General features: G+C 55.0%; 1 protein-coding gene across 1 annotated transcript, besides 13 other annotated features; it reads left to right on the forward strand.

Moving 5' to 3' along the window:
- Positions 2,541 to 2,600: an enhancer, noted in NCBI's record as "active region_23203". NCBI's record gives its function as "activates an Ori minimal core promoter by ATAC-STARR-seq in GM12878 lymphoblastoid cells {active_cell/tissue: GM12878}" and the evidence as "EXISTENCE:reporter gene assay evidence [ECO:0000049][PMID:35858748]".
- Positions 2,671 to 2,760: an enhancer, noted in NCBI's record as "active region_23204". NCBI's record gives its function as "activates an Ori minimal core promoter by ATAC-STARR-seq in GM12878 lymphoblastoid cells {active_cell/tissue: GM12878}" and the evidence as "EXISTENCE:reporter gene assay evidence [ECO:0000049][PMID:35858748]".
- Positions 11,057 to 11,223: a transcriptional cis regulatory region, noted in NCBI's record as "candidate enhancer chr5.3152 targeted for multiplex CRISPR interference". NCBI's record gives its function as "positively regulates EGR1 gene expression with high confidence in K562 cells {active_cell/tissue: K562}" and the evidence as "EXISTENCE:mutant phenotype evidence [ECO:0000015][PMID:30612741]".
- Positions 11,893 to 11,992: an enhancer, noted in NCBI's record as "active region_23205". NCBI's record gives its function as "activates an Ori minimal core promoter by ATAC-STARR-seq in GM12878 lymphoblastoid cells {active_cell/tissue: GM12878}" and the evidence as "EXISTENCE:reporter gene assay evidence [ECO:0000049][PMID:35858748]".
- Positions 16,778 to 17,047: a silencer, noted in NCBI's record as "silent region_16396". NCBI's record gives its function as "represses an Ori minimal core promoter by ATAC-STARR-seq in GM12878 lymphoblastoid cells {active_cell/tissue: GM12878}" and the evidence as "EXISTENCE:reporter gene assay evidence [ECO:0000049][PMID:35858748]".
- Positions 16,778 to 18,912: a biological region, named in NCBI's record as "BRD4-independent group 4 enhancer GRCh37_chr5:137799954-137801153".
- Positions 16,960 to 18,159: an enhancer, noted in NCBI's record as "BRD4-independent group 4 enhancer chr5:137799954-137801153 (GRCh37/hg19 assembly coordinates)". NCBI's record gives its function as "activates an origin of replication core promoter dependent on BRD2, P300/CBP, MED14 and CDK7 cofactors, and independent of BRD4, by STARR-seq in HCT116 cells {active_cell/tissue: HCT116}" and the evidence as "EXISTENCE:reporter gene assay evidence [ECO:0000049][PMID:35650434]".
- Positions 17,232 to 18,072: an enhancer, noted in NCBI's record as "H3K27ac hESC enhancer chr5:137800226-137801066 (GRCh37/hg19 assembly coordinates)". NCBI's record gives its function as "activates a minimal SCP1, AML or CMV promoter by ChIP-STARR-seq in naive H9 embryonic stem cells {active_cell/tissue: H9 hESC(naive)}" and the evidence as "EXISTENCE:reporter gene assay evidence [ECO:0000049][PMID:30033119]".
- Positions 17,368 to 17,767: a silencer, noted in NCBI's record as "silent region_16397". NCBI's record gives its function as "represses an Ori minimal core promoter by ATAC-STARR-seq in GM12878 lymphoblastoid cells {active_cell/tissue: GM12878}" and the evidence as "EXISTENCE:reporter gene assay evidence [ECO:0000049][PMID:35858748]".
- Positions 17,778 to 18,127: a silencer, noted in NCBI's record as "silent region_16398". NCBI's record gives its function as "represses an Ori minimal core promoter by ATAC-STARR-seq in GM12878 lymphoblastoid cells {active_cell/tissue: GM12878}" and the evidence as "EXISTENCE:reporter gene assay evidence [ECO:0000049][PMID:35858748]".
- Positions 18,073 to 18,912: an enhancer, noted in NCBI's record as "H3K27ac-H3K4me1 hESC enhancer chr5:137801067-137801906 (GRCh37/hg19 assembly coordinates)". NCBI's record gives its function as "activates a minimal SCP1, AML or CMV promoter by ChIP-STARR-seq in primed H9 embryonic stem cells {active_cell/tissue: H9 hESC(primed)}" and the evidence as "EXISTENCE:reporter gene assay evidence [ECO:0000049][PMID:30033119]".
- EGR1 (early growth response 1) lies at positions 18,174 to 21,998 on the forward strand. Its single transcript, NM_001964.3, has 2 exons — positions 18,174 to 18,763; positions 19,452 to 21,998. The coding sequence occupies exons 1-2, from the start codon at positions 18,457 to 18,459 to the stop codon at positions 20,774 to 20,776; spliced, it is 1,632 nt and encodes a 543-aa protein (NP_001955.1). The 5' UTR covers positions 18,174 to 18,456; the 3' UTR covers positions 20,777 to 21,998.
- Positions 18,218 to 18,427: a silencer, noted in NCBI's record as "silent region_16399". NCBI's record gives its function as "represses an Ori minimal core promoter by ATAC-STARR-seq in GM12878 lymphoblastoid cells {active_cell/tissue: GM12878}" and the evidence as "EXISTENCE:reporter gene assay evidence [ECO:0000049][PMID:35858748]".
- Positions 22,175 to 22,469: a silencer, noted in NCBI's record as "tiled region #15571; HepG2 Repressive non-DNase unmatched - State 18:Pol2". NCBI's record gives its function as "represses a minimal TATA promoter and a strong SV40 promoter by Sharpr-MPRA in HepG2 cells {active_cell/tissue: HepG2}" and the evidence as "EXISTENCE:reporter gene assay evidence [ECO:0000049][PMID:27701403]".

Genomic DNA, 22,597 nt, shown 5'->3' on the forward strand with positions numbered 1-22,597 from the left:
GCATGGTGGCGCGTGCCTGTAGTCCCAGCTACTTGGGAGGCTGAGGCAGGGGAATTGCTTGAACGTGGGAGGCAGAGATTGCAGTGAGCCAAGATCGTGCCACTGCACTCCAGCCTGGTGACAGAATAAGACTCCGTCTCAAACAAAACAAAAAACAAACAAAAACCACAGAGGCTTAGCTGGGTGTGGTGGCTCACACCTGTAATCCCAGCACTTTGGGAGGTGGAGGCAGGAGGATCCTTGAACTCAGGATTTTGAGACCAGCCTGGGCAACATGCGAAAATCACATCTGTATTTTTTTTTAGGGGGGGAAACTGAGTATTGCCAAGGCTGGAGTGCAGTGGCGCGATCTTGGCTCACGGCAACCTCTGCCTACTGGGTTCAAATGATTCTCATGCCTCAGCCTCCCAAGTAGCTGGAATTACAGTCATGCGCCACCATGCCCAGCTAATTTTTGTATTTTTAGTAGAGACTGGGTTTCACCATGTTGGCCAGGCTGGTCTCGAACTCCTGACCTCAAGTGATCTGCCCGCCTCGGCCTCCCAAAGTGCTGGGATTACAGGCGTGAGACACCGCGCCCAGCCATGTCTCTATTTAAAAAATAATAATAATAAATAAAAACCAGAGGCCTAAGAAGGGCCAGGGGCCCCAACCCCAAGGACTGTCTTTTCCCTCAGAATCTTACCCCAAGTCTTGAGTGGACCTTCTGGTATCCAACAGAAAGTGCTAGGTGTAGGCTCTGGGGGACAAAGATCCCAGTGAGGCCCCCAGGGGACAGAGGATAGGATATGGAGCTGTGGGGCAGGCCTCGGGGACTGTGCCTAGAAAGACCAAAGGGGGTTGAGCCAGAGAGGTTGAGCGAAGAAGCAGAGATGGGGAAGACAGGACAAGGGCTTGTGAAGAAACCAGCCCTGGGGACAGAGAGGGAACCAAGGGCTGAGACAAAGAGGCACAGCCTGTGTGGCACCAGGAAAGGCAGAGGTCCAGCCCTGACTACTGGGCTAGGTTGGAGGAAAGGAGGAGAAGGGAGCTGCAGGGCATGGGGTCCGAGCCCTGGGACGCAGAGCCAGAGCTCCAGGGGCCAAGAAGCACAACTGACTGGGGATGAGCCCCCGGGAAGCCGGAACCCAGGGGGAGGGAAAGGCTGGCAGAGGAGCAGAGGCAGGTACGGAGGAGAGACTAAGGAAAAGAGCCGTAAGGGAGGAAAAAGGGGATCAGAGAAATAGCTCAGCCTGTGGAAGGAAAATGAACGAAGCAGACCATGGGGTGGGTAGGGGGTATGAGTAGGACCCAGACCCAGGCTCTGGACCCCAAGTTTGGCAAAGCGCCCCTACACTAGGCTTTCCTCCTCCTTCCCTGGCATCACAGGGCATGTGCACCTTCCACACTTGAGCCAAGCTAGCCAAGAGCCCCCTGAAGTGAGGTCACAGTGGGGGATGTGAGGTGTCCCTTTTGTCTTTCCTTGGAATCCTCCAGTCAACCAGCCCTCTGAGGGGCATCACCTTCACCATCAGCCTCTCAGCAATTTTGGCTCATTTTTCCATCGGAAAGGAGAGGAAGCTACCACAGTAAAATTTAGGGGAGGGATTCATTCTAGAAAAGTCCCCAGAGAGTAAGATGCTGCAGTCCCACGCTAACAGCTACCATATGCCCAGGAAACCAGGTTAGGCGCTCTTTAACCTAAATCTCATTTGCTGCATACCACACACACACAAACACACACACTGGCTCACACTCAGGAGGAGCATGCTCACATCTACAGTGACTGGTGGCTAGGCAGGTCACATCCAGATTCTGCATTGTCAAGCTCTCCGTGCACATCAGGGGTTCCCTGTGTCCACAGGAACATGCTCAGATTTCCAAGCTCATTGGTTTGTTGCTATGGAAACATTCAGGCTTCTAGAACTCTGGGCACAGGGCCTGCCCCCTGTGGTGCAGAGGAGAGAAGAGATGGAGGGTGACAAGAAGAACGGGTGGAAAGGCTCCTGGGAAAGAGGCTGGCTGGTGGCACACATCTGGGCCTAGGTGACCCCTTGCTGTCCCCTCATTCCCTGGGACAATCTCCCCTCTCCCCTTTCCCCTCTGCCTCCGTAGATCTCTCCAAGCCAGGGTAGTGGGAAAGAGATGTCAGAAATAGGTGGATGGCCAGAGCTATGTGGAGGGTGCTCGATCACTGCCTGGGTCCCCAGGAGCCTTTGAGAGGTATTAGCTTTGGGTAGGGACTGGGGCAGGCTAGCGCTGGGTCCCATGCCCAGGCCTCCTTGGGATCGCTGGGCAGCCCTCCAGGCCTGAGGTACCTGACTATAACAGCCTCAGGTCTCTAGCTTCTTCAGCTGGCCCCCCCTCCCTTTCTTGTGGGTGCCCTACACCCAGAGAACCTGCTTAAAATGGGATTTCCAGGCTGTGACGTCAGAGGAAAGCCAGCAGCTCCATCCAGCCTCTGCCAGCTCTCCCTTGATCGGCAGAGCTGAGCCCAGCTTTGCTTGGCCTGGAGGGAGGTAGGGCGGGCACAGAAGGGAGGGCCTTGGGGGCTCTGAGCCATGGTCCCCATATCTGTGGCATCCAGAATGACAGGGAGAGGCTGTTTGCAGGCCCAAAGCCCCTCCTGGCTTCCCCACTATCTTCAATTTCCGCCAGTGCACGATCACCCCCCTCCCACATCCCCCCAGTTTCTCCCTCTCTGAGCTGGGTCAGGTCCGTCGGGAGGAGGAGGGCATCTCCTGTCCTTACCGGACAGCGGCTTTTGTGTGTGTCCTGCCTGAAACGGTGCCATATCCAGGCTGGAGGCGGCGAGGCGTGGGAGGGATGCCTGCGAGGATGGAAAAGCCCACTAGGTGGCGCAGCTGCCTCCCTATGTGGGATTCCCCGGCCCCGCGGACAATCCTCTCCCGCGGCCAGTAGGCTCCAGGTTTGGTGAGCAGAGTGCCTCATCCTCCGCTCCCTGGAGTTGGAGGTTCATGAAGAAAGCATTCTTGTGGGTGAACAGGACAGCTGTGGGTTCTCCAGCAGTCTCCCCCTAAGCCCAGTCTGTGTGCACACCTACTGCCCCAGGAGATGGTCAGACCTAGAAGAAGCCCCCCACTTGCAGTGAGGTTCCAGCACCCAGCAAGCACCCTCCCCCGAACAGATAAATTGCCAAGCTCACCCTGGGATGATTTTTTTTTTTTTTTTTTTGAGACAGAGTCTCGGAGCTCTGTCGCCCAGGCTGGAGTGCAGTGGCGCGATCTTGGCTTACTACAACCTACGCCTCCTGAGTTCACGAGATTCTCCTGCCTCAGTCTCCCAAGTGGCTGGGATTACAGGCACAGGCCACCATGCCTGGCTACTTTTTGCTTTTTTTTTTTTTTTTTTTTTTTTAATATGGAGTCTCGCTCTGTCGCCCAGGCTGGAGTGCAGTGGCGCGATCTCGGCTCGCTGCAAGCTCCACCTCCTGGGCTCACGCCATTCTCCTGCCTCAGCCTCCGGAGTAGCTGGGACTACAGACACCCGCCACAACGCCCGGATAATTTTTTGTATTTTTAGTGAAGACGGGGTTTCACCGTGTTAGCCAGGATGGTCTCAATCTCTTGACCTCGTGATCCGCCCGCCTCGGCCTCCCAAAGTGCTGGAATTACAGGCGTGAGCCACCGCGCCCGGCCTTTTTTTCCTTTTTAATAGAGATGGGATTTTGCCATGTTGGCCAGGCTGGTCTCGAACTCCTGGCCTCAAGTGATCCGCCCACCTCCCAAAGTGCTGGGATTAAAGACGTGAGCCACCGCACTTGGCCCCAACCTGGGCTTCTGAAATGGCATCTAGAGAGGCTGCTGGAGCTGAATTCAGGATCAAGAGGGGAGAGGGACCCCTGAGGCAGCAAGGGATGGGGACTGGGGCGGGGAGGTAGGAAGGAGAAGTTGGGTCCAGAGGCAGGGAAGCTCATATAGCTGTGACATTCCCTGGATATGGTCTCCCTGATGGCCACAGTGGCAGTCCCAGGCCTGCTCCAGGTGCCCCCTGACCCTTCCTGTATTTTCATCTGGGGTACTATGGAGTTGAAAAAGACAAAGTCAGGCCAGGTGTGACATGGTGGCAGACACCTGTAATCCCAGCTACTCGGAGGCTGAGGCAGGAGAATCGCTTGAACCTGGGAGGGGGAGGTTGCAGTGAGCTGAGATTGCGCCATTACACTCCAGCCCAGGCGACGATGTGAGACTCCATCTCAAAAAAAAAAGAAAAGTAAAAAATAAAAGAAAAAGACAAAGTCCCTAGTCTCCACATCCTGGAATCCCATAGTATTCTTGCAGGGGCTGGGGGTGAGGCTCCTCAATGATCTACCTTTCCCTGACCTTTTTCCCAAGTTGACCCTACCAGCCCTGCATCCCCTATGAATTACCCTCTCCTTTTGTCCCAGCCAGAAAAGTGATCAATAAATAATGCTGCTTGAAATATTAATGGTGAGTTTTACACCAGCATCCCTTAACTGTGTGTGCCTGTCATTTTCCTGATAGGGAAATGCATGGTCCTCCAGACAGCTCATTCCTGTCTTGGCCAATAGAGGGTCTTTCTTTGCCAAGACTTCACCCCATTCCCATCTCAGCCAGAATCATGATTCAGTCCCATCAACTAAGAAAAGGAAGCGTCCCCCAGAGATCACCTCAGTTAGCACCTCCAACCCAGGAAGGGTGGAGTAAGCTAAGCCAGGTAGAAGCCTTCCTGATACCTCGATTTCCCACGGTGTGATTGAGATCCCATTTCCTCTGTTCCATGTCCATCCTGGGCCTGCCAGGTCCAGCTTTCTGGGTGGCCAACTCAGAATAAGACTGCAGCCTCCCTGCCCGCTCCTGGATTATTTGGAGTCTAAGCAGAGGACATTTGTGTGCTCCTAGACTCCTCGAGCACAGGTCACTCTCACCTGGTTTTGTTCTCCCGGAAGAAGGGGAGGAGTGGGAAGGACAAGGAGGTGGAGAGGAGGAGCATTGAAACTCTGGAGCCCAACTTACCCAGTACTAGTTCCCTGCTCTGCAGAAGCCATGACTGCTCAAATCTATTTTTTTTTTTTTTTTTGAGACAGAGTCTTGCTCTGTCACCCAGCTGGAGTGCAATGGCATGATCTCAGCTCACTGCAACCTCCACCTCTTGGGTTCAAGAGATTCTCCTGCCTCAGCCTTCCAAGTAGCTGGAACTACAGGTGCGCGCCACCATGCCTGGCTAATTTTTGTATTTTTAGTAGAGTCAGGGTTTCACCATGTTGGCCAGGCTGCTCTCAATCTCCTGACCTCAAATTATCTGCCTGCCTCGGCCTCCCAAAGTGCTGGGATTACAGATGTGAGCCACCATGCCTGGCCTCAAATCTTTTTTTTTTTTTCCTGGAGACACAGGGTCTTTCTCGCTTCATTGCCTACACTAGAGTGCAATGGCACAGTCACGGCTTACTGCAGCCTCAACCTCCTGGGTTCAAGCAATCCTCCCACCTTAGCCTCCCAAGTATCTGGGACCACAGGCGCACACCACCACGCCTGGCCAATTTTTTTTTTTTTTTTTTGAGAGAAGATGGCCTTTATTGCAGCACGAACCAAGTGAGGAGGACTGCATGTAAACAGCTCTCCAGGAGCCACCAAAGGTGATGGGCCCACCCTATCCCTGCAACAGGCCCCCCAGGGGCTAGAGCGCAGCTCCCCCCAGGAAGGGCAAGGGGTTCTTGTAAACAGGGGCCCAGACAACACAGAGAGGGGAGGCAGCATCATCAGGTGCAGTTTGCTACAAGAAAGATTGTTCTTAATTTCAAAGATGAGACACCGCCATGCCTAGCCCTGCCCTCCCGCATGCTGGAAGGCTCTGGAAGCAGCTCCTGCCTGCCTGGGGAGTTAGGCCCACCCACTGCCCGTGAGCCTGGCCCAGGCACACTGCAGCCACACAAGAAACGCTGGCAGCTGACTCCATATTTCAGAAACACAATTAGAAAAGAACTAGGCCAGGCATGGTGGCTCATGCCTGTAATCCCAGCACTTTGGGAGGCCGAGGCTGGCAGATCACGAGGTCAAGAGTTCGAGACCAGCCTGACCAACATGGTGAAACCTGTCTCTACTAAAAATACAAAAATTAGCTGGGTGTGGTGATGCATGCCTGTAATCCCAGCTACTCAGGAGGCTGAGGCAGGAGAATCGCTTGAACCCAGAAGGTGGAGGTTGCAGTGAGCCGAGATCGCGCCACTGCACCACTGCACTCCAGCCTGGGCAACAGAGTGAGACTCTGTCTCAAAAAAAAAAAAAAAAAAAAAAAAAGAAAACTGGAATGTTACATTTTTCTCCCATACATTAAAAAATAAGAAAAAACGAACATTTTGACTGTAGACGCTGGTAGGTGGCATCTGACTTTAACCTGAAGTTCTCCTTGGAATCCTTTTCTGCCTGGCGCTCCGCCGTCCACAGTCAGCCCCAGCCCCAGGCCCCCCTCACCGGAAGATCCTGGCCCATCTCAGAGGAGGGCGGGACCCTGCGGGGTGCCTGGCAAACAGGGCAACCACTGGGAAGACATGGACTGACTTTCCTGTTAGGGTCTGTGACCTTCGGCAAATGGAAAAGGAAACAGTAACAGAAGACGGTGGCCTCCTGCCGGGACCTCAGCGGGAGGTTTGCTGGTGAAGGTTCTGGGTGAGCTGGAGATGGGTGATAAGGTGGGCTTGCTGGGCGGTGGCCTCAGGCTGTTCCTGGGCACCTGTCACATAGAGCCCTGTGGGCACACTGTGGGGCCCCACACCCGTCCCCGGGTTGTCCTGATACATAAGAGCAGAGACCCTGGAAGAGAAACCCGCTTGCCCCGTGCAACACAGGGCTCCCAAACGCTTCCCTGTGGAATCCTGCTCCCGAGGACACCTTGTCTCGCTCCACGGAACCCTTTCCCCAGCACCCCCTGGAAACACAGCAGCCGGGAACAAACTCTGCATGCCAGGAATGAAGCCCTTGGCTAAGCCAGAGACTCATCAGTGCATGGATGGTGGTGAGGGGTGAGGACAGGCCCTGGGGTGGTGCTCAGTCCTGGGGACACCAGCACTGTCCTGCTCTGACCCACAGGTGGGAGAAGGATGCTGTGCTTCCAGAGTGTGAGGCCGGGAGGATGACTCAGGAGGACAGAGGCCTGGGGCTGAGGCTGTGCCCAGAGCCAGTGTGGGGAGGGGCGTGGGGGCCTTCGCAGAAGCAGCTCAGAGAACTGAGGTTGGAATCCTGCCCCAAGCATAGGTTTCTGGGACAGCAAGTGCCTAGACAAGGCAGGCGACATGACAGTCACTGGGCTGGTCCAGAAACAAGGTGCTGAAGACGTTGTTGAAGAAGGAGAGATGGTACCTGCAGGCTCGCTTGCAGTCAGGGTTGAAGTTCACCTCCAGGATCTGCAGCTGCATCACCCGCTTTCCATCTGGACGGTTGTCCCACTTCAGCATGAGGTCGATGGCATACATCTGGCCAATTTTTTTAAATGATTTTTTGTAGAGACAGGGGTTGCCCTATGTTGTCCAGGCTGGTCTCAAACTCCTGAGCTCAAGGGATCCTCCTGCCTCGGCCTCCCAAAGTGTTGGGATTACAGGCGTGAGCTACCGTGCCCGCCCCACTCAAATCTTTGCATGCACATTTCCTTCTGCCTGAAGCACCCTTGTTTACCTGCTTCACCTGGTCAGCTCCTGTGTGTGCTTCGAGTCTCAGCTCAGAGTGACTCCTCCACCCCACTGCCAAGTTGTCAGATGCCCCTCCAGGCCCCTGACATACCTGTCCTTTCCCCCTGACAGCACACATTGCCCTGTGTGCCCATTGCCTGCTTCCCAGTCTGTTTATCCACCAGCCTGAAGGCTGGGGCATAGACAATGGGCCCAGCTGGCTCCCCACTGTTTGCCCAGCATCTCCAGCACGGGGCCTGGCACACGATAAACACTTGGCACATTTGTGTAGAATGTTACAAGGATGCCCCTGCAGCAATCTTTCCCTTCTGGAAAAACAGCAACCTTCAAACTTCAGTGTCTCTCAGCTGAGCTGTTGCCTACGCCCGAGGATGAGTGTCTGCGCTAAACAAGAGCTGCCCGGATCGGCTGCCCTTGCCCTGGCTGCCCCAGCGTGTGCCCACGCTCACTTGTGCTCCTTTTCTCTCTCTCACACACAGATGGGAGTCAGCTTTCCAGCCACATTCAGTTCTCGCTTTAATTCAAATGCTAAATTGGGAAGAAGAGCAGCTTCACACTCTCGATTTAGCCTGGGAGAGAAAAAGTGAGACAGCCTGGATGTTGCCAGGGAAAGGAGAAAGAGAAAGCAGGGTCTGGGGTTGGAGTGTGGTGGCAAATGTACCAGAGCCCAAGGGAAAACAATGAAAGCCCCACCACCCAGCTCCTAAAAGTAAACCACCCAGAGCTCTGACCCCAGGGTGGCCCTTAAAGCCTCTTTCCTCCAGCAGGGCAACCCTTCCCGGCATTATCTCCATCTGGAGAGGGTGTGATGAGGGGCAGCACGGGAGTCTCTGAATATTAAAGCTACCCAGAGAGGGAGATGTTGCTACTTTGGTCACTGGTAGTAGGAAACCATGAGGTCTTTCTTAAATCTGACTTTGATTCCCCTTGTGAGAGCTACAGGTTATGATGAATTAGAACCCTGAGTCCACAAACAGATATTTCCACATCAATGTTCACAGCAGCATTATTCCCAGTCACCAAGAGGTGGAAACAACCTCTGTTCATCAGTCGGTAAGTGGATAAACAAAATGTGGTATATATATACAATGGAACATTATACATCCTTAAGAAGGAATGGGATTTTGACACATGCTACAGCATGGATAAGCCCTGAAAACATTATGGCAGGTGAAATAAGCCAGACACAAAAGGACAAATATTGTATGATTGCGCTTACATGAATACCTAGAATAGTGAAATCCATAGAGACAGGAACTATAATAGAGATTAGCAGGCAGCCGGGCATGATAGCTCATACCTTTAATGCCAGCACCTTGGGAGGCCAAGGCGGGCGGATCACTTGAGGCCAGGAGTTTGAGACCAGCCTGGCCAACATGGCAAAACCCTGTCACTACTAAAAATACAAAAATTAGCTGGGCGTTATGGTGCACACTTGTAGACTCAGCTACTCAGGAGGCTGAGGCAGGAGAATCGCTTGAGCCTGGGAGGCAGAGATTGAAGTGAGCAGAGATCATGCCACTGCACTCCAGCCTGGGCAACAGAGTGAGACTCCACCTCAAAAAAAAAAAAGCAGGGATTGCAGGGAGGAAGGAACAAGGAGTTATTTAAAGGGTGCAGAGTTTCTGTTTGGGATGATGAGAAAGTTCTGAAAAGGACAGTGGTGATAGTTGTACAACAGTGTGAATGTACTTAATGCCACTGAATTGTACACTTAAAATGGTTCAAATTGTAAATTTTTGTGTATTTTACAATAAAATATAAACATTAATAATTAAAATTTTAGGCCAGGCACTGTGGCTCACGCCTGTAATCCCAACACTTTGGAAGGCCAAGGTGGGCGGATCACCTGAGGTCGGGAGTTTGAGACCAGCCTGCCCAACATGGAGAAACCCCGTCTCTACTAAAAATACAAAATAAGCCCGGCGTGGTGGCACATGCCTGTAGTCCCAGCTACTTAGGAGGCTGAGGCAGGAGAATAGCGTGAACCTGGGAGGTGGAGCTTACAGTGAGCCAAGATTGCGCCGTTGCACTCCAGCTTAGACGACAGAGCGAGACTCTGTCTCAAAAAAAAAAAAAATACAGTTGTGTCCTGCCACAACAGCCCTCTCTGCAACTGGACCAGAGGGAAACTGGATCCTGTAAGTTCTAGACCCCTTCCTGTGCCTGCTTTTAGGAAGAGAAGTGCTGCCTCTGCCGGGAGTATAGCTGAGACCTTTCTGAGGATGTTCCTAGGGACAGGAGCAGACCCTCCTGCCCTTATGGCTATTTGTCAGCATGATCGTGGATGGAAGCGCTCTCTCTCTCCTGTGCTGGGCGCCAGCTTCCTTCTCACTCACGCATGTTGACTTTGGCTTAAAACAGGGTTCCCATATGGAGGGAGTTGATAGGAAGATGGTTGGAGGAAGGAAGAATGACAGGGCCCTTCCATCAGCCTCCCAACCACCCTGCTGCCACTGTACCCGGGGAGATGGATGCTCCTTTGGGCTGGGCAGCTTGTCAGTCGGTGTGGGTGTCAGCTTTTCTGGCTGTCTTTCTGTCTCTACCTAGGAGGCCCCTGCAGGAGCCCCTGTGATAGCCGGTGCTGATGCATCCAGACCCCACCCTCTCTCCTGGACCATTGCATGGGTGCCTGCCGGTCTCACCATCTGACCTCCCTGTGCCCCCCACAGCCTCCTGCGATGATTTTTTAAATGACAAGTTGGCTGTCTGACTGCCTGGGAAGCACTTCAGGGGGTGGGAGCTGGATCAGGGCCCCCGCATTCGCTGTGCTTCCCCCATGACAGCGTGTGTCACACTGCTCCAAGTGCTTCTTAACGTCTGTCTCCCCCACTGGGCTGTGAGCTGCCAAAGAGGGGGACCCTCCTTACCACTCTTTGCATCTTTAATGCCTAGAGCAGAAATGATGTTTGATAAATACTTGTTGAATGGATGAATTTAAGTGACCCGTTCCTATGTCTGTCTCCCCTACTGGACTTGACTCAAGAACCCTGCAGGGTGAAAGTGAAAGCTTCATCTGATTCATTCCGGGGTCCCACAGAAGAGTTCTTGGTAGGAGCTGGGGTTCAGCCGGAGGGCTCTGAAGCCAGGCTGTCTGCATTGGAATCCTGGCTCCACCAGTGGGCAGCTCTGTGCCCTGGAGCAAATCGCCTGCCCTCTTTGAGTACGTTTCCTCATCAGTGAGATGGGGGTGAGGATGGCACCTGCCTCATAAGGCACTGTGAGGACAAATGCCCATCAAGTGTTTAGCACAGAGCCTGTCACATGGTTAACGTGTATTGGGGTGAGGGTGGAGATAGAGAATGTATCCAGAGATTAAGGAAAATCAGTGGAAGCAAGCAGAATAGATATTATTGCTGTTTTTCCTGCATCCTGGTGTTTGTTGGAGTGGAAGTTGGGGGTGAAGCCGGTGCCAGAGTGGGGTGACCCCAGGGGCTGCCTGCCCCCTCCCTCCCCATCCCCCGCACCAAGGCCTGCAGGACCCAAGCTCACCCACCAAGAAGCTGAGCAGCCCCGGCGCTGGGCGGTGGTGAGGGGCCAGAAATAACCGCCGTTGCTATTCCTGCCTTTCTGGGCTGGGTGGAAACGCTGCCTTTCTAATCTAAAGGCTGCTCTCGACTTCCTGCACATCAGTGGGCTCTTATGTAATGCTCCCCTCCCTCTCCTGCCCAACGAGCTTCCAGAGATTTCTGCAGCCGGCTGGCTTTACTGCACACTCAGCTGGGGGTAGGGGGAGCAAAGAAACCACCAGAGGCTGGATTGTCCTCTGAGCCCAGGGTCCTGCCAGCCTCAGGCCTGGGAGAGAGACTGGCCAGCACAGAGCAGAGGGACGGATGTCCAAGGGCAGCAGCCTTGTTCTGCATCTGCAGGGCACTGCGGGACAGAGAAGACCCACTTCCACCCACTCCTTCTTCCCTTTACAGACCCCTGCCCCCGAGTACAGACTGTGCCCCTCCCAAGTGCTGATGCCCCAAGGTCTTCCATTGTAGGCCTAACCTGACTCTGCCTGGTGCATCACTCCCCAGGCAGCCTCTGGGGAGAGGAGCCCAGACCCCAACTCTCCCAGGCAGGAACCCCCCATCCCCGTCACCAGGGGCTCAATCCTCTGTGATCTCTTCCCTGCAACCCCTAGATCCCGTCCAGAGCACGCCAGGCACCCTCTTCAGACGCCCTGCGCCTCAGACCTCAGCATCACACTGCACGGCCCTTCACCTAGCTTGAGACCCAGGGCTGTCCTCTGGCATCTTGAGTGAGTAGATGAGACGGCTCACACTTCAGCACTCCAGGACGATCCTCCCTCTCTCTCCCTTGTCTTCCTCATGCTGCCCCCTCTCACCCACCCCCTCAGGGCACCTTCTGTCCCATCTCATGCCTGGCCTCCTCAGGTTTCTTCTCACCCCTCAAAGCCCTCCCTGGGGTAGGAGCAGAACTGCCCCAGACCCATTCAAAGCCCATCAGCCTTCGGCTGGAAAGTCAGTCGGAAAGTGTGACAGGTGCCCCAGACAAACCCCAAGAGAGTCACTTCCTGAGGCCCGGGCTGGCCACGTGCAAACCACGGCCTGAACAGTGCACTTGGGTGCTGACGTAGCCCAGGGCTGGGGAGGAGGAAGCAGCAATGGAAAAAGGGGCTTGTTTTCCTCTGAGAGCTGCAGCCGGCTCAGCCCTGGGTCGAGTGTTGGAGATGGGATGGTTCCACTGGCTTTCTCCTGGAGCCTCAGCGGCCTTGGGCAAGCTCAATTCTCTCTCCCCTCTGCCTCTTCCTCCTCTCCTGTTTGCAAGGAAAGGTCTAAGTGCAGATATCAGCTGAGGGCCTCTTACCTTTTCCCCGGCTTCTGGTATCAGTCACTTGGCCAGAAAGGTCTGAGAGCCCCAGGTCATCCCTAAGCACCCTTGAGGCCCAGTAGGCCCCTAGACCAGGGTGCAGAGTGACTCGGAGCCTTCCTTACCTCCAACATGGTTTCCTGCAGGCCCCAGGCTGGTTGTTTCATCTGGGCTGTTGGTCACAAGTGGGGTGCTCACTAGCCCCAACTGAGATTTGGCTCCTCGGGAGGGGCCAATTTTTTCACCATCTCCTCCCTTTCCTGTCCCCCCAATGACAGCAAACAGAAGTGTGCCATTGGCCAAAATATAAGACCAGAGGGGAGTGAGGTGGCTCAGATGCCCCAGCCTTGTGACTGAGAAGCCAGGTCAGCGGCATAACCCTATCTAGGGAGGTGACTTTCAGCCCTTTTCATGACAGGCTAAGGCCTGGGCAGCATGCACGGTTCTGAGCTCAGCTCCTCCCACCGTTCCTAGGTGGAAGCTGCCTTCCAGGGGCTCACACCACAGGGGCTGGGCAGGGTTGGGAAGGGCCACCTTCTCCTCTCTATGAGCTGTGAGGACAGAACAAGGGAGAGAGGGGGTGGACTGGTACATTTGGCTCTGCACAATTCTTGCTGTCCACACCTTCACCTGAGGCCCCAGAAAGATCACAGCCAGACTCCCTTCCCTCCTGAGGCCTTTGCAAGGCTGGCCCTCTGCCTGCAATGCTCTCCCCACCACACCCCTCTATGCAGTCAGTTTCCTCTCCTCTTTTTTATCTTTTATCGCTGCATAAATGCCACCTCCTCCAATATGCCTTTCCCTCACCTTCCTAGTATATCAGCCACACTCACCATGATCTGAAATTATCCTTTTTATTTGCATAACTGTTTATTTCTGTCTATCCCACTAAATGGTATTTTCCATGAGAGCAAAGCCTCACTGCAGAATCTCTAAGACTCAGCACTGCACCCAATACACACAGTGGGCAATAAACCTTTTCAAAAGAATGAATGTTTTATTTAACTTTACCTTCTGCTACTTCCCAAGAGGAAATCTCTCTACTCTAGCCCATTTCGTCCCCTTCCAGCCTCATTTTCCCCAGACAGACCACACATGGGCGCTCCTGGCCAACCCACCCCCAAGCCTGGCCTGAAACAGCTTCTCACTTCCCCACCACAAAGTTTGGGCCTTCTCACGTTCCTTCTCCTCCAAAATCTCTTCATTGTCCCTGACCGTCTCCCAGCCTCCTGGAATCTCTCCCTTCTCTTATCTCCTATGTCCCTTAGTGTCACTGAGTTTTGCTGGCTAACAGGGCTGCTTCCTTTCTATTCTTTATTCTCTTGTAACATAGAATCCAGGCTCTCTTCTACCCAGCTGTAAGATCCTTAGAGGCAAAGGCCTATGCCATGGATCTTATTCCCAAACCTTGACTGCAGTTAGTCCTCAGGGAAGTTTTTATTGTTGTTGATAATGGGTGTTCAACTGGTTAGGTTGTGAGTGAGAGAAACTAACTGAGGATGTTTTATTTTATTCAATAAAAAAGGAATTCATTGGCCTGCATAACTAAAAAGCTCAGGCTGAGTCCAGGGACCTTCTGTACGTTTGTCTCTCTCTTCTGTATGTCTCTTCTCTCTGACTTCCCCTGCATTGGCTTCATTCTCAGGCAGGCTCTCCAGGCCTGTGGGCGAAACGGCCTCCAGGCTTACATCCTATTGGCTTAGTACCATCAGGGAAAGGGAATTTCCCTTTCCCAAGAGTTCTGGAAAAAGTGATTCTCATTGGCCTGGTTTGGGTCATGTGCCCATCCTGACTCAATCACTACAGCTAGGGAAATGAACCACTCCTAGGCTAGGCCACCCCTGGGTGGATGGCCAGGCCCAGGGAACATACCTACTTATAGATGTAGAGTAGGGGCTATCTGCCCCCAACCACATGGATTAAGGTGGCTCCCCAAAGGAAACTGCTGGCTGGGGAATAGTAATAAAAAGAAAGGGGAATTGATGTTGGTCATGCAAAACAAAAGATGTAGACGTAGACTATGAGAATTTCCCATGCTGAGCTTCAGCAAGAACCTGACAAATACGTTAGGTGAGCTGCACAGGAGAATCATCGGGGAACTGGTTTGCCCTGGCTGGGGCAGAGGATGTTCTCTCCCAGTCTGGGTGGCTCTCCAGTGACAGCACAAGAATCCCAGGCCGATACCTTGGCTCAGTGCTGCCACTCGCAAGCTCGGGAAGATTGTGATGCAGCTGGTCCAGGGTAAAAGCTGTCTTTTTCAGACTTCCACAGGCGATTCTGCTGCACAGTCAAGGTTGAAAAATGCTGCTCTAGTAAACGCTCTACTGCAGCAAGATGGGTTCAGATCAACTCTTAGGGATTACGTCCCCTGTGATAGGATTGGTATGTTTTTCCCCATCTGCACAGCTTTCCAGAAAAGGGTCACTGGAGTTTTCTTGGAGGCTGAGGATGGGTGGGTGAACTGTGGATGACTCTATGGATCCAAAGCCTCTGAAAAGAACAATAGCCACTGTTTGTTGAATGCCAATTGCAAGGCAGGTACTGTGTGTTGGGACTTGACATATGGCAGCCCGCATAAGTTTCAGTCCTCACAACAATACTCCCATGTGGGTATTATTACTATTATTTATTTATTTGAGACAGAGTCTCACTCTGTCGCCCAGGCTTGAGTGCAGTGTTGTGATCTCGGCTCACTGCAAGCTCCACCTCCCGGGTTCACGCCACTCTCCTGCCTCAGCCTCCGGAGTAGCTGGGACTACAGGTGGCCACCACCACGCCCGGCTAATTTTTTTGTATTTTTAGTAGAGATGGGGTTTCACCGTGTTAGCCAGGATGGTCTCGATCTCCTGATCTCATGATCCGCCTGCCTCGGCCTCCCAAAGTGCTGGGATTACAGGCATGAGCCACTGTGCCCGGCCCCATGTGGGTATTATTAACATTAGCCCCATTTTACAGTTGAAGAAAGTGAGACACAAAAAGCATGGCTGGCTGGGCACGGTGGCTCACGCCTGTAATACCAGCACTTTGGGAGGCCAAGGTAGGTGGATCACCTGAGATCAGGAGTTCAAGATCAGGCTGGCCAACATGGTGAAACCTGGTCTCTACTAAAAATACAAAAATTAGCCATGTGTGGTGGGGTGCACCTGTGGTCCCAGCTACTAGGGAGGCTGAGGCAGGAAAATAGCTTGAACCCAGGAGGCGGAGGTCGCAGTGAGCCAAAATTGCCCCATTGCACTCCAGCCTGGGTGACACAGGGAGACTCTGTCTTAAAAAAAGCAAAAACAAACAAGTAAACAAAAAGCTTGGCTGGCTGGGTGCTGTGGCTCACACCTGGAATGCCAGCACTTTGGGAGGCCGAAGTGGGTGAATCGCTTGAGCTCAAGAGTTCAAGACCAGCCTGGGCAACACAGCGAAACCCCTCTCTACGAAAATACAAAAAAAAAAAAAAAAAAAAAAAGTAAAAGCCAGGCGTGGTGGCAGGCACCTGTAGTCCAAGCTACTCGAGAGGAGGAGGCTGGAGGATCACTTGAGCCTGGGAGGCGGAGGTTGCAGTGAGCTCGCGCCACTGCACTCCAACCTGGGTGCCAGCGTGAGACCCCGTCTCAGAAAGAATAAAAACATTAAAAAAAAAATTTGGCTAAGGTACCCTACCAGGGAGTGGCAAAATGGACATTCAGACACAAGGCCATCTGCGCTGCAACAGCCTGGCCTTCCTGCCCTTGCGGCAGGAGTCCTCTGAGAGGCGCATCACTCCTGCCCCAATGGACAACTCGGTAGACAGTGGGAGTGAGCCCCCCACCTCCCCAGCGGACTTGAGACGGCAGGCTCCGAGACGAGGGAGTCCTGGTTCATTAAGTTGGTTTTTATAAGAAAACATGTTTGGAGGGGGGACAGCCACAGAGGGATTAAGTCCAAGAAAGTTACACCCTCCCCCACCTAATCCCCCTGACCCCGACCTCCAGAGGCTGTTGGGGTTCACAGAGGCCCTCACCTCCTCCCTTCCCTCTCGGTGTCGTCAAGCACCCTCCTTCCCCACATTCTCTTTCTGCTTTCTTTTTAAATCCAGAAAAAACAGCACCTCCTCTGGATTCAGAGCTAGAGCAGGAGGAGCCTTCCCTTCCCGGAATCCCTGTTCCCTTTGGGGTGAGCAACTGACTGCGTCGTGGGGGCGGGGAGGGCTTCCCTGTTCGCGTTCGGCCCCAGGGAGACCTGCGGGAATCGTTCTCCCTCGCCACCACCCACCCCCTGCTTCCTTCTCCCCCTCGCCTTGGCCAGGCTCGGGGTGAGGAGTGTTATCCCGGAGTCTGGGCGCCTCGGCAGTGACGGCTCCCCAGGGACTGCAGGGGGAGCCCGGGCTGCAGCGCCTGCTCAGTTCGTGCTCACTGCGTCGAAGGCTCCCCCGGCCTGGCTCCGCGCCCAGCGCCGCATCCGGGAGGAGGAGCGAGGAGGCGGCGGAAGAGCCCGCGCGGCCGGAGTCCGGGGCTGGGAGTGGAGAGGGAACCTCCAGGGGGCAGCACCGAGCCGCCAAGCCGGTCCTCTCTTCGCGCCCAGCCCGGGGTCCCCAGACAGCCCATAGGGAAGCCCCTCTTTCGGATTCCCGCAGTGTGGGCCGGCCCTCCACCTGGACTGGATAAAGGGGGGAAAGTGACCCCTCACCACAAGGACCATTATCTCCTGGTGAGAACAAGAATCAGGCCTCTCTTGGGGCAATCAGCTTCCCCACTTCGGTCCCCCAAAGGTGGGCTCTTTGCCGGCGGGGACTAGGGAACAGCCTTTCGGTTCCGGGGGAGCACAGGGGACCCCAGGCACCAGCAGCCCCATCCCACCGACAGGTGGCAGAGGCAAGGCAGCTCACTGCTATACAGTGTCCCAAGAACCAAGTGGCCGTGACTTCCTATCCTCAATTTCCCAGCGACACCCGGAAAGACACCGTGCCATAGATCGAGGCCCGGGGTCAAGGCCCCGCCTCTCCTGGGCGGCCCCTGCCCAGGCGGGCCCAGCCGCTCCTCCCCCGCACTCCCGGTTCGCTCTCACGGTCCCTGAGGTGGGCGGGCGGGCCCTGGATGACAGCGATAGAACCCCGGCCCGACTCGCCCTCGCCCCCGCTCTGGGTCTGGGCTTCCCCAGCCTAGTTCACGCCTAGGAGCCGCCTGAGCAGCCGCGCGCCCAGCGCCACACGCCACGAGCCCTCCCCGCCTGGGCGTCCCCGGATCCCGCGAGCGCTCGGGCTCCCGGCTTGGAACCAGGGAGGAGGGAGGGAGCGAGGGAGCAACCAGCTGCGACCCGGAAATGCCATATAAGGAGCAGGAAGGATCCCCCGCCGGAACAACCCTTATTTGGGCAGCACCTTATTTGGAGTGGCCCGATATGGCCCGGCCGCTTCCGGCTCTGGGAGGAGGGAAGAAGGCGGAGGGAGGGGCAACGCGGGAACTCCGGAGCTGCGCGGGTCCCGGAGGCCCCGGCGGCGGCTAGAGCTCTAGGCTTCCCCGAAGCCTGGGCGCCTGGGATGCGGGCGCGGGCGCGGGCCCTAGGGTGCAGGATGGAGGTGCCGGGCGCTGTCGGATGGGGGGCTTCACGTCACTCCGGGTCCTCCCGGCCGGTCCTGCCATATTAGGGCTTCCTGCTTCCCATATATGGCCATGTACGTCACGACGGAGGCGGACCCGTGCCGTTCCAGACCCTTCAAATAGAGGCGGATCCGGGGAGTCGCGAGAGATCCCAGCGCGCAGAACTTGGGGAGCCGCCGCCGCCATCCGCCGCCGCAGCCAGCTTCCGCCGCCGCAGGACCGGCCCCTGCCCCAGCCTCCGCAGCCGCGGCGCGTCCACGCCCGCCCGCGCCCAGGGCGAGTCGGGGTCGCCGCCTGCACGCTTCTCAGTGTTCCCCGCGCCCCGCATGTAACCCGGCCAGGCCCCCGCAACTGTGTCCCCTGCAGCTCCAGCCCCGGGCTGCACCCCCCCGCCCCGACACCAGCTCTCCAGCCTGCTCGTCCAGGATGGCCGCGGCCAAGGCCGAGATGCAGCTGATGTCCCCGCTGCAGATCTCTGACCCGTTCGGATCCTTTCCTCACTCGCCCACCATGGACAACTACCCTAAGCTGGAGGAGATGATGCTGCTGAGCAACGGGGCTCCCCAGTTCCTCGGCGCCGCCGGGGCCCCAGAGGGCAGCGGCAGCAACAGCAGCAGCAGCAGCAGCGGGGGCGGTGGAGGCGGCGGGGGCGGCAGCAACAGCAGCAGCAGCAGCAGCACCTTCAACCCTCAGGCGGACACGGGCGAGCAGCCCTACGAGCACCTGACCGCAGGTAAGCAGTGGCCTACGCCGAGGGGGAACCCTTTCGCCACCATCCTGGCGTCCTGTCCTTCACCGCAGGAGTGCTCCTGGATCTTAGAATGAGAGCCGGGTTTCCCTTTCATTCCTCGCATCCCCAGAGTCATGTGTTAGAGGGATGCCAAGGAACCCCACACAGCCCACCCCCTGCCCTCATCCCTAGCGGAGCGCAGAGGACCGAGCTTTTGTTTTGGATGGAGAGCTCTGGAGCTGCGTGGGTGGGTGGAGGGGGAGGGCTTGTTTTGATGAGCGGGGCTGCGCCCCCCACCTCCAGTAAGACTTGCCTTGCCTTGCTTGCCGCCTGTCCCCAAGGAAGGACCGTGATCCTTGGCCGTGGATGTCCCGGCAGCCCGGGTTTGGGGGCGCGCACTAGCCGCGGCCATGGGGGTGCTGGCGGGAATCCCTCGCCCGCACAGCCGCCGCTGCGGAGCGCTGCGAGCTGCAGTGGAGGGGGATTCTCCGTATTTGCGTCAGCTGTTGTTGAAATGGGCTCTGCCACTGGTGCGGGTCCAGGAACATTGCAATGTGCTGCTATCAATTATTAACTACCTCGGGAGTCAATGGTAGCCGGCCCGGTCTCTTGCCTGGCAGCTCGGGTCGTCCTCGTCCTCCAGTGATTGCTTTCCAGTAACCAGGCCTCCCGCTTCTCTCTCTCCTGCCAGAGTCTTTTCCTGACATCTCTCTGAACAACGAGAAGGTGCTGGTGGAGACCAGTTACCCCAGCCAAACCACTCGACTGCCCCCCATCACCTATACTGGCCGCTTTTCCCTGGAGCCTGCACCCAACAGTGGCAACACCTTGTGGCCCGAGCCCCTCTTCAGCTTGGTCAGTGGCCTAGTGAGCATGACCAACCCACCGGCCTCCTCGTCCTCAGCACCATCTCCAGCGGCCTCCTCCGCCTCCGCCTCCCAGAGCCCACCCCTGAGCTGCGCAGTGCCATCCAACGACAGCAGTCCCATTTACTCAGCGGCACCCACCTTCCCCACGCCGAACACTGACATTTTCCCTGAGCCACAAAGCCAGGCCTTCCCGGGCTCGGCAGGGACAGCGCTCCAGTACCCGCCTCCTGCCTACCCTGCCGCCAAGGGTGGCTTCCAGGTTCCCATGATCCCCGACTACCTGTTTCCACAGCAGCAGGGGGATCTGGGCCTGGGCACCCCAGACCAGAAGCCCTTCCAGGGCCTGGAGAGCCGCACCCAGCAGCCTTCGCTAACCCCTCTGTCTACTATTAAGGCCTTTGCCACTCAGTCGGGCTCCCAGGACCTGAAGGCCCTCAATACCAGCTACCAGTCCCAGCTCATCAAACCCAGCCGCATGCGCAAGTACCCCAACCGGCCCAGCAAGACGCCCCCCCACGAACGCCCTTACGCTTGCCCAGTGGAGTCCTGTGATCGCCGCTTCTCCCGCTCCGACGAGCTCACCCGCCACATCCGCATCCACACAGGCCAGAAGCCCTTCCAGTGCCGCATCTGCATGCGCAACTTCAGCCGCAGCGACCACCTCACCACCCACATCCGCACCCACACAGGCGAAAAGCCCTTCGCCTGCGACATCTGTGGAAGAAAGTTTGCCAGGAGCGATGAACGCAAGAGGCATACCAAGATCCACTTGCGGCAGAAGGACAAGAAAGCAGACAAAAGTGTTGTGGCCTCTTCGGCCACCTCCTCTCTCTCTTCCTACCCGTCCCCGGTTGCTACCTCTTACCCGTCCCCGGTTACTACCTCTTATCCATCCCCGGCCACCACCTCATACCCATCCCCTGTGCCCACCTCCTTCTCCTCTCCCGGCTCCTCGACCTACCCATCCCCTGTGCACAGTGGCTTCCCCTCCCCGTCGGTGGCCACCACGTACTCCTCTGTTCCCCCTGCTTTCCCGGCCCAGGTCAGCAGCTTCCCTTCCTCAGCTGTCACCAACTCCTTCAGCGCCTCCACAGGGCTTTCGGACATGACAGCAACCTTTTCTCCCAGGACAATTGAAATTTGCTAAAGGGAAAGGGGAAAGAAAGGGAAAAGGGAGAAAAAGAAACACAAGAGACTTAAAGGACAGGAGGAGGAGATGGCCATAGGAGAGGAGGGTTCCTCTTAGGTCAGATGGAGGTTCTCAGAGCCAAGTCCTCCCTCTCTACTGGAGTGGAAGGTCTATTGGCCAACAATCCTTTCTGCCCACTTCCCCTTCCCCAATTACTATTCCCTTTGACTTCAGCTGCCTGAAACAGCCATGTCCAAGTTCTTCACCTCTATCCAAAGAACTTGATTTGCATGGATTTTGGATAAATCATTTCAGTATCATCTCCATCATATGCCTGACCCCTTGCTCCCTTCAATGCTAGAAAATCGAGTTGGCAAAATGGGGTTTGGGCCCCTCAGAGCCCTGCCCTGCACCCTTGTACAGTGTCTGTGCCATGGATTTCGTTTTTCTTGGGGTACTCTTGATGTGAAGATAATTTGCATATTCTATTGTATTATTTGGAGTTAGGTCCTCACTTGGGGGAAAAAAAAAAAAGAAAAGCCAAGCAAACCAATGGTGATCCTCTATTTTGTGATGATGCTGTGACAATAAGTTTGAACCTTTTTTTTTGAAACAGCAGTCCCAGTATTCTCAGAGCATGTGTCAGAGTGTTGTTCCGTTAACCTTTTTGTAAATACTGCTTGACCGTACTCTCACATGTGGCAAAATATGGTTTGGTTTTTCTTTTTTTTTTTTTTTGAAAGTGTTTTTTCTTCGTCCTTTTGGTTTAAAAAGTTTCACGTCTTGGTGCCTTTTGTGTGATGCGCCTTGCTGATGGCTTGACATGTGCAATTGTGAGGGACATGCTCACCTCTAGCCTTAAGGGGGGCAGGGAGTGATGATTTGGGGGAGGCTTTGGGAGCAAAATAAGGAAGAGGGCTGAGCTGAGCTTCGGTTCTCCAGAATGTAAGAAAACAAAATCTAAAACAAAATCTGAACTCTCAAAAGTCTATTTTTTTAACTGAAAATGTAAATTTATAAATATATTCAGGAGTTGGAATGTTGTAGTTACCTACTGAGTAGGCGGCGATTTTTGTATGTTATGAACATGCAGTTCATTATTTTGTGGTTCTATTTTACTTTGTACTTGTGTTTGCTTAAACAAAGTGACTGTTTGGCTTATAAACACATTGAATGCGCTTTATTGCCCATGGGATATGTGGTGTATATCCTTCCAAAAAATTAAAACGAAAATAAAGTAGCTGCGATTGGGTATGTGTTTCCTGGGTTAGGGGAAGGACTCTGCCCTATTGAGGGCTGTGAGGTTTTCTGAAGACTTGGCCTTTAGAGATACAAGGATCCTCCAGCCAGAGTCAGGCCCACTGTGTGAAACTGGAGTTCGTTATTTATGAGGACTGAGTATGGGTCTTCAAATAGGGTCTCGGTCTATCCACCCAGGCTGGAGTGCAGTAGTGTAATCACAGTTCACTGCAGCTTTGGTGTCTCAGGCTCAAGTGATCCTCCCACCTCAGCCTCCTGAGTAGCTGGGACTATAGGCACGTGCCACCACACTCGGTTAATGTTTATAGAGACAGGGTTTTGCCATGTTGCCCAGGCTGGAGTTCTTCTTGATAATGGGCCTGTTCCTCTTCAGTCTGTTGGGCTGAAGCTTTACCTTGGTTAGCTAAAGCCAAGAAAGGCAAGAGTTAGGGCTGGGACATGTGTGGCCAAAGGCAGTGTTACTCTCCTGGCATCAAATGTTGGGCCAGTCCCGTCCCCCACCTCTACTCAGGGTTGGAAAACCCATGATCTTGGGAATCCCTGCCATGTGCAGTTAGAGGAGGTAAGAAGTAGGCACAA

Source organism: Homo sapiens, chromosome 5 (genome assembly GCF_000001405.40).
Source record: "Homo sapiens chromosome 5, GRCh38.p14 Primary Assembly".
NCBI classification, from domain to species: domain Eukaryota; kingdom Metazoa; phylum Chordata; class Mammalia; order Primates; family Hominidae; genus Homo; species Homo sapiens.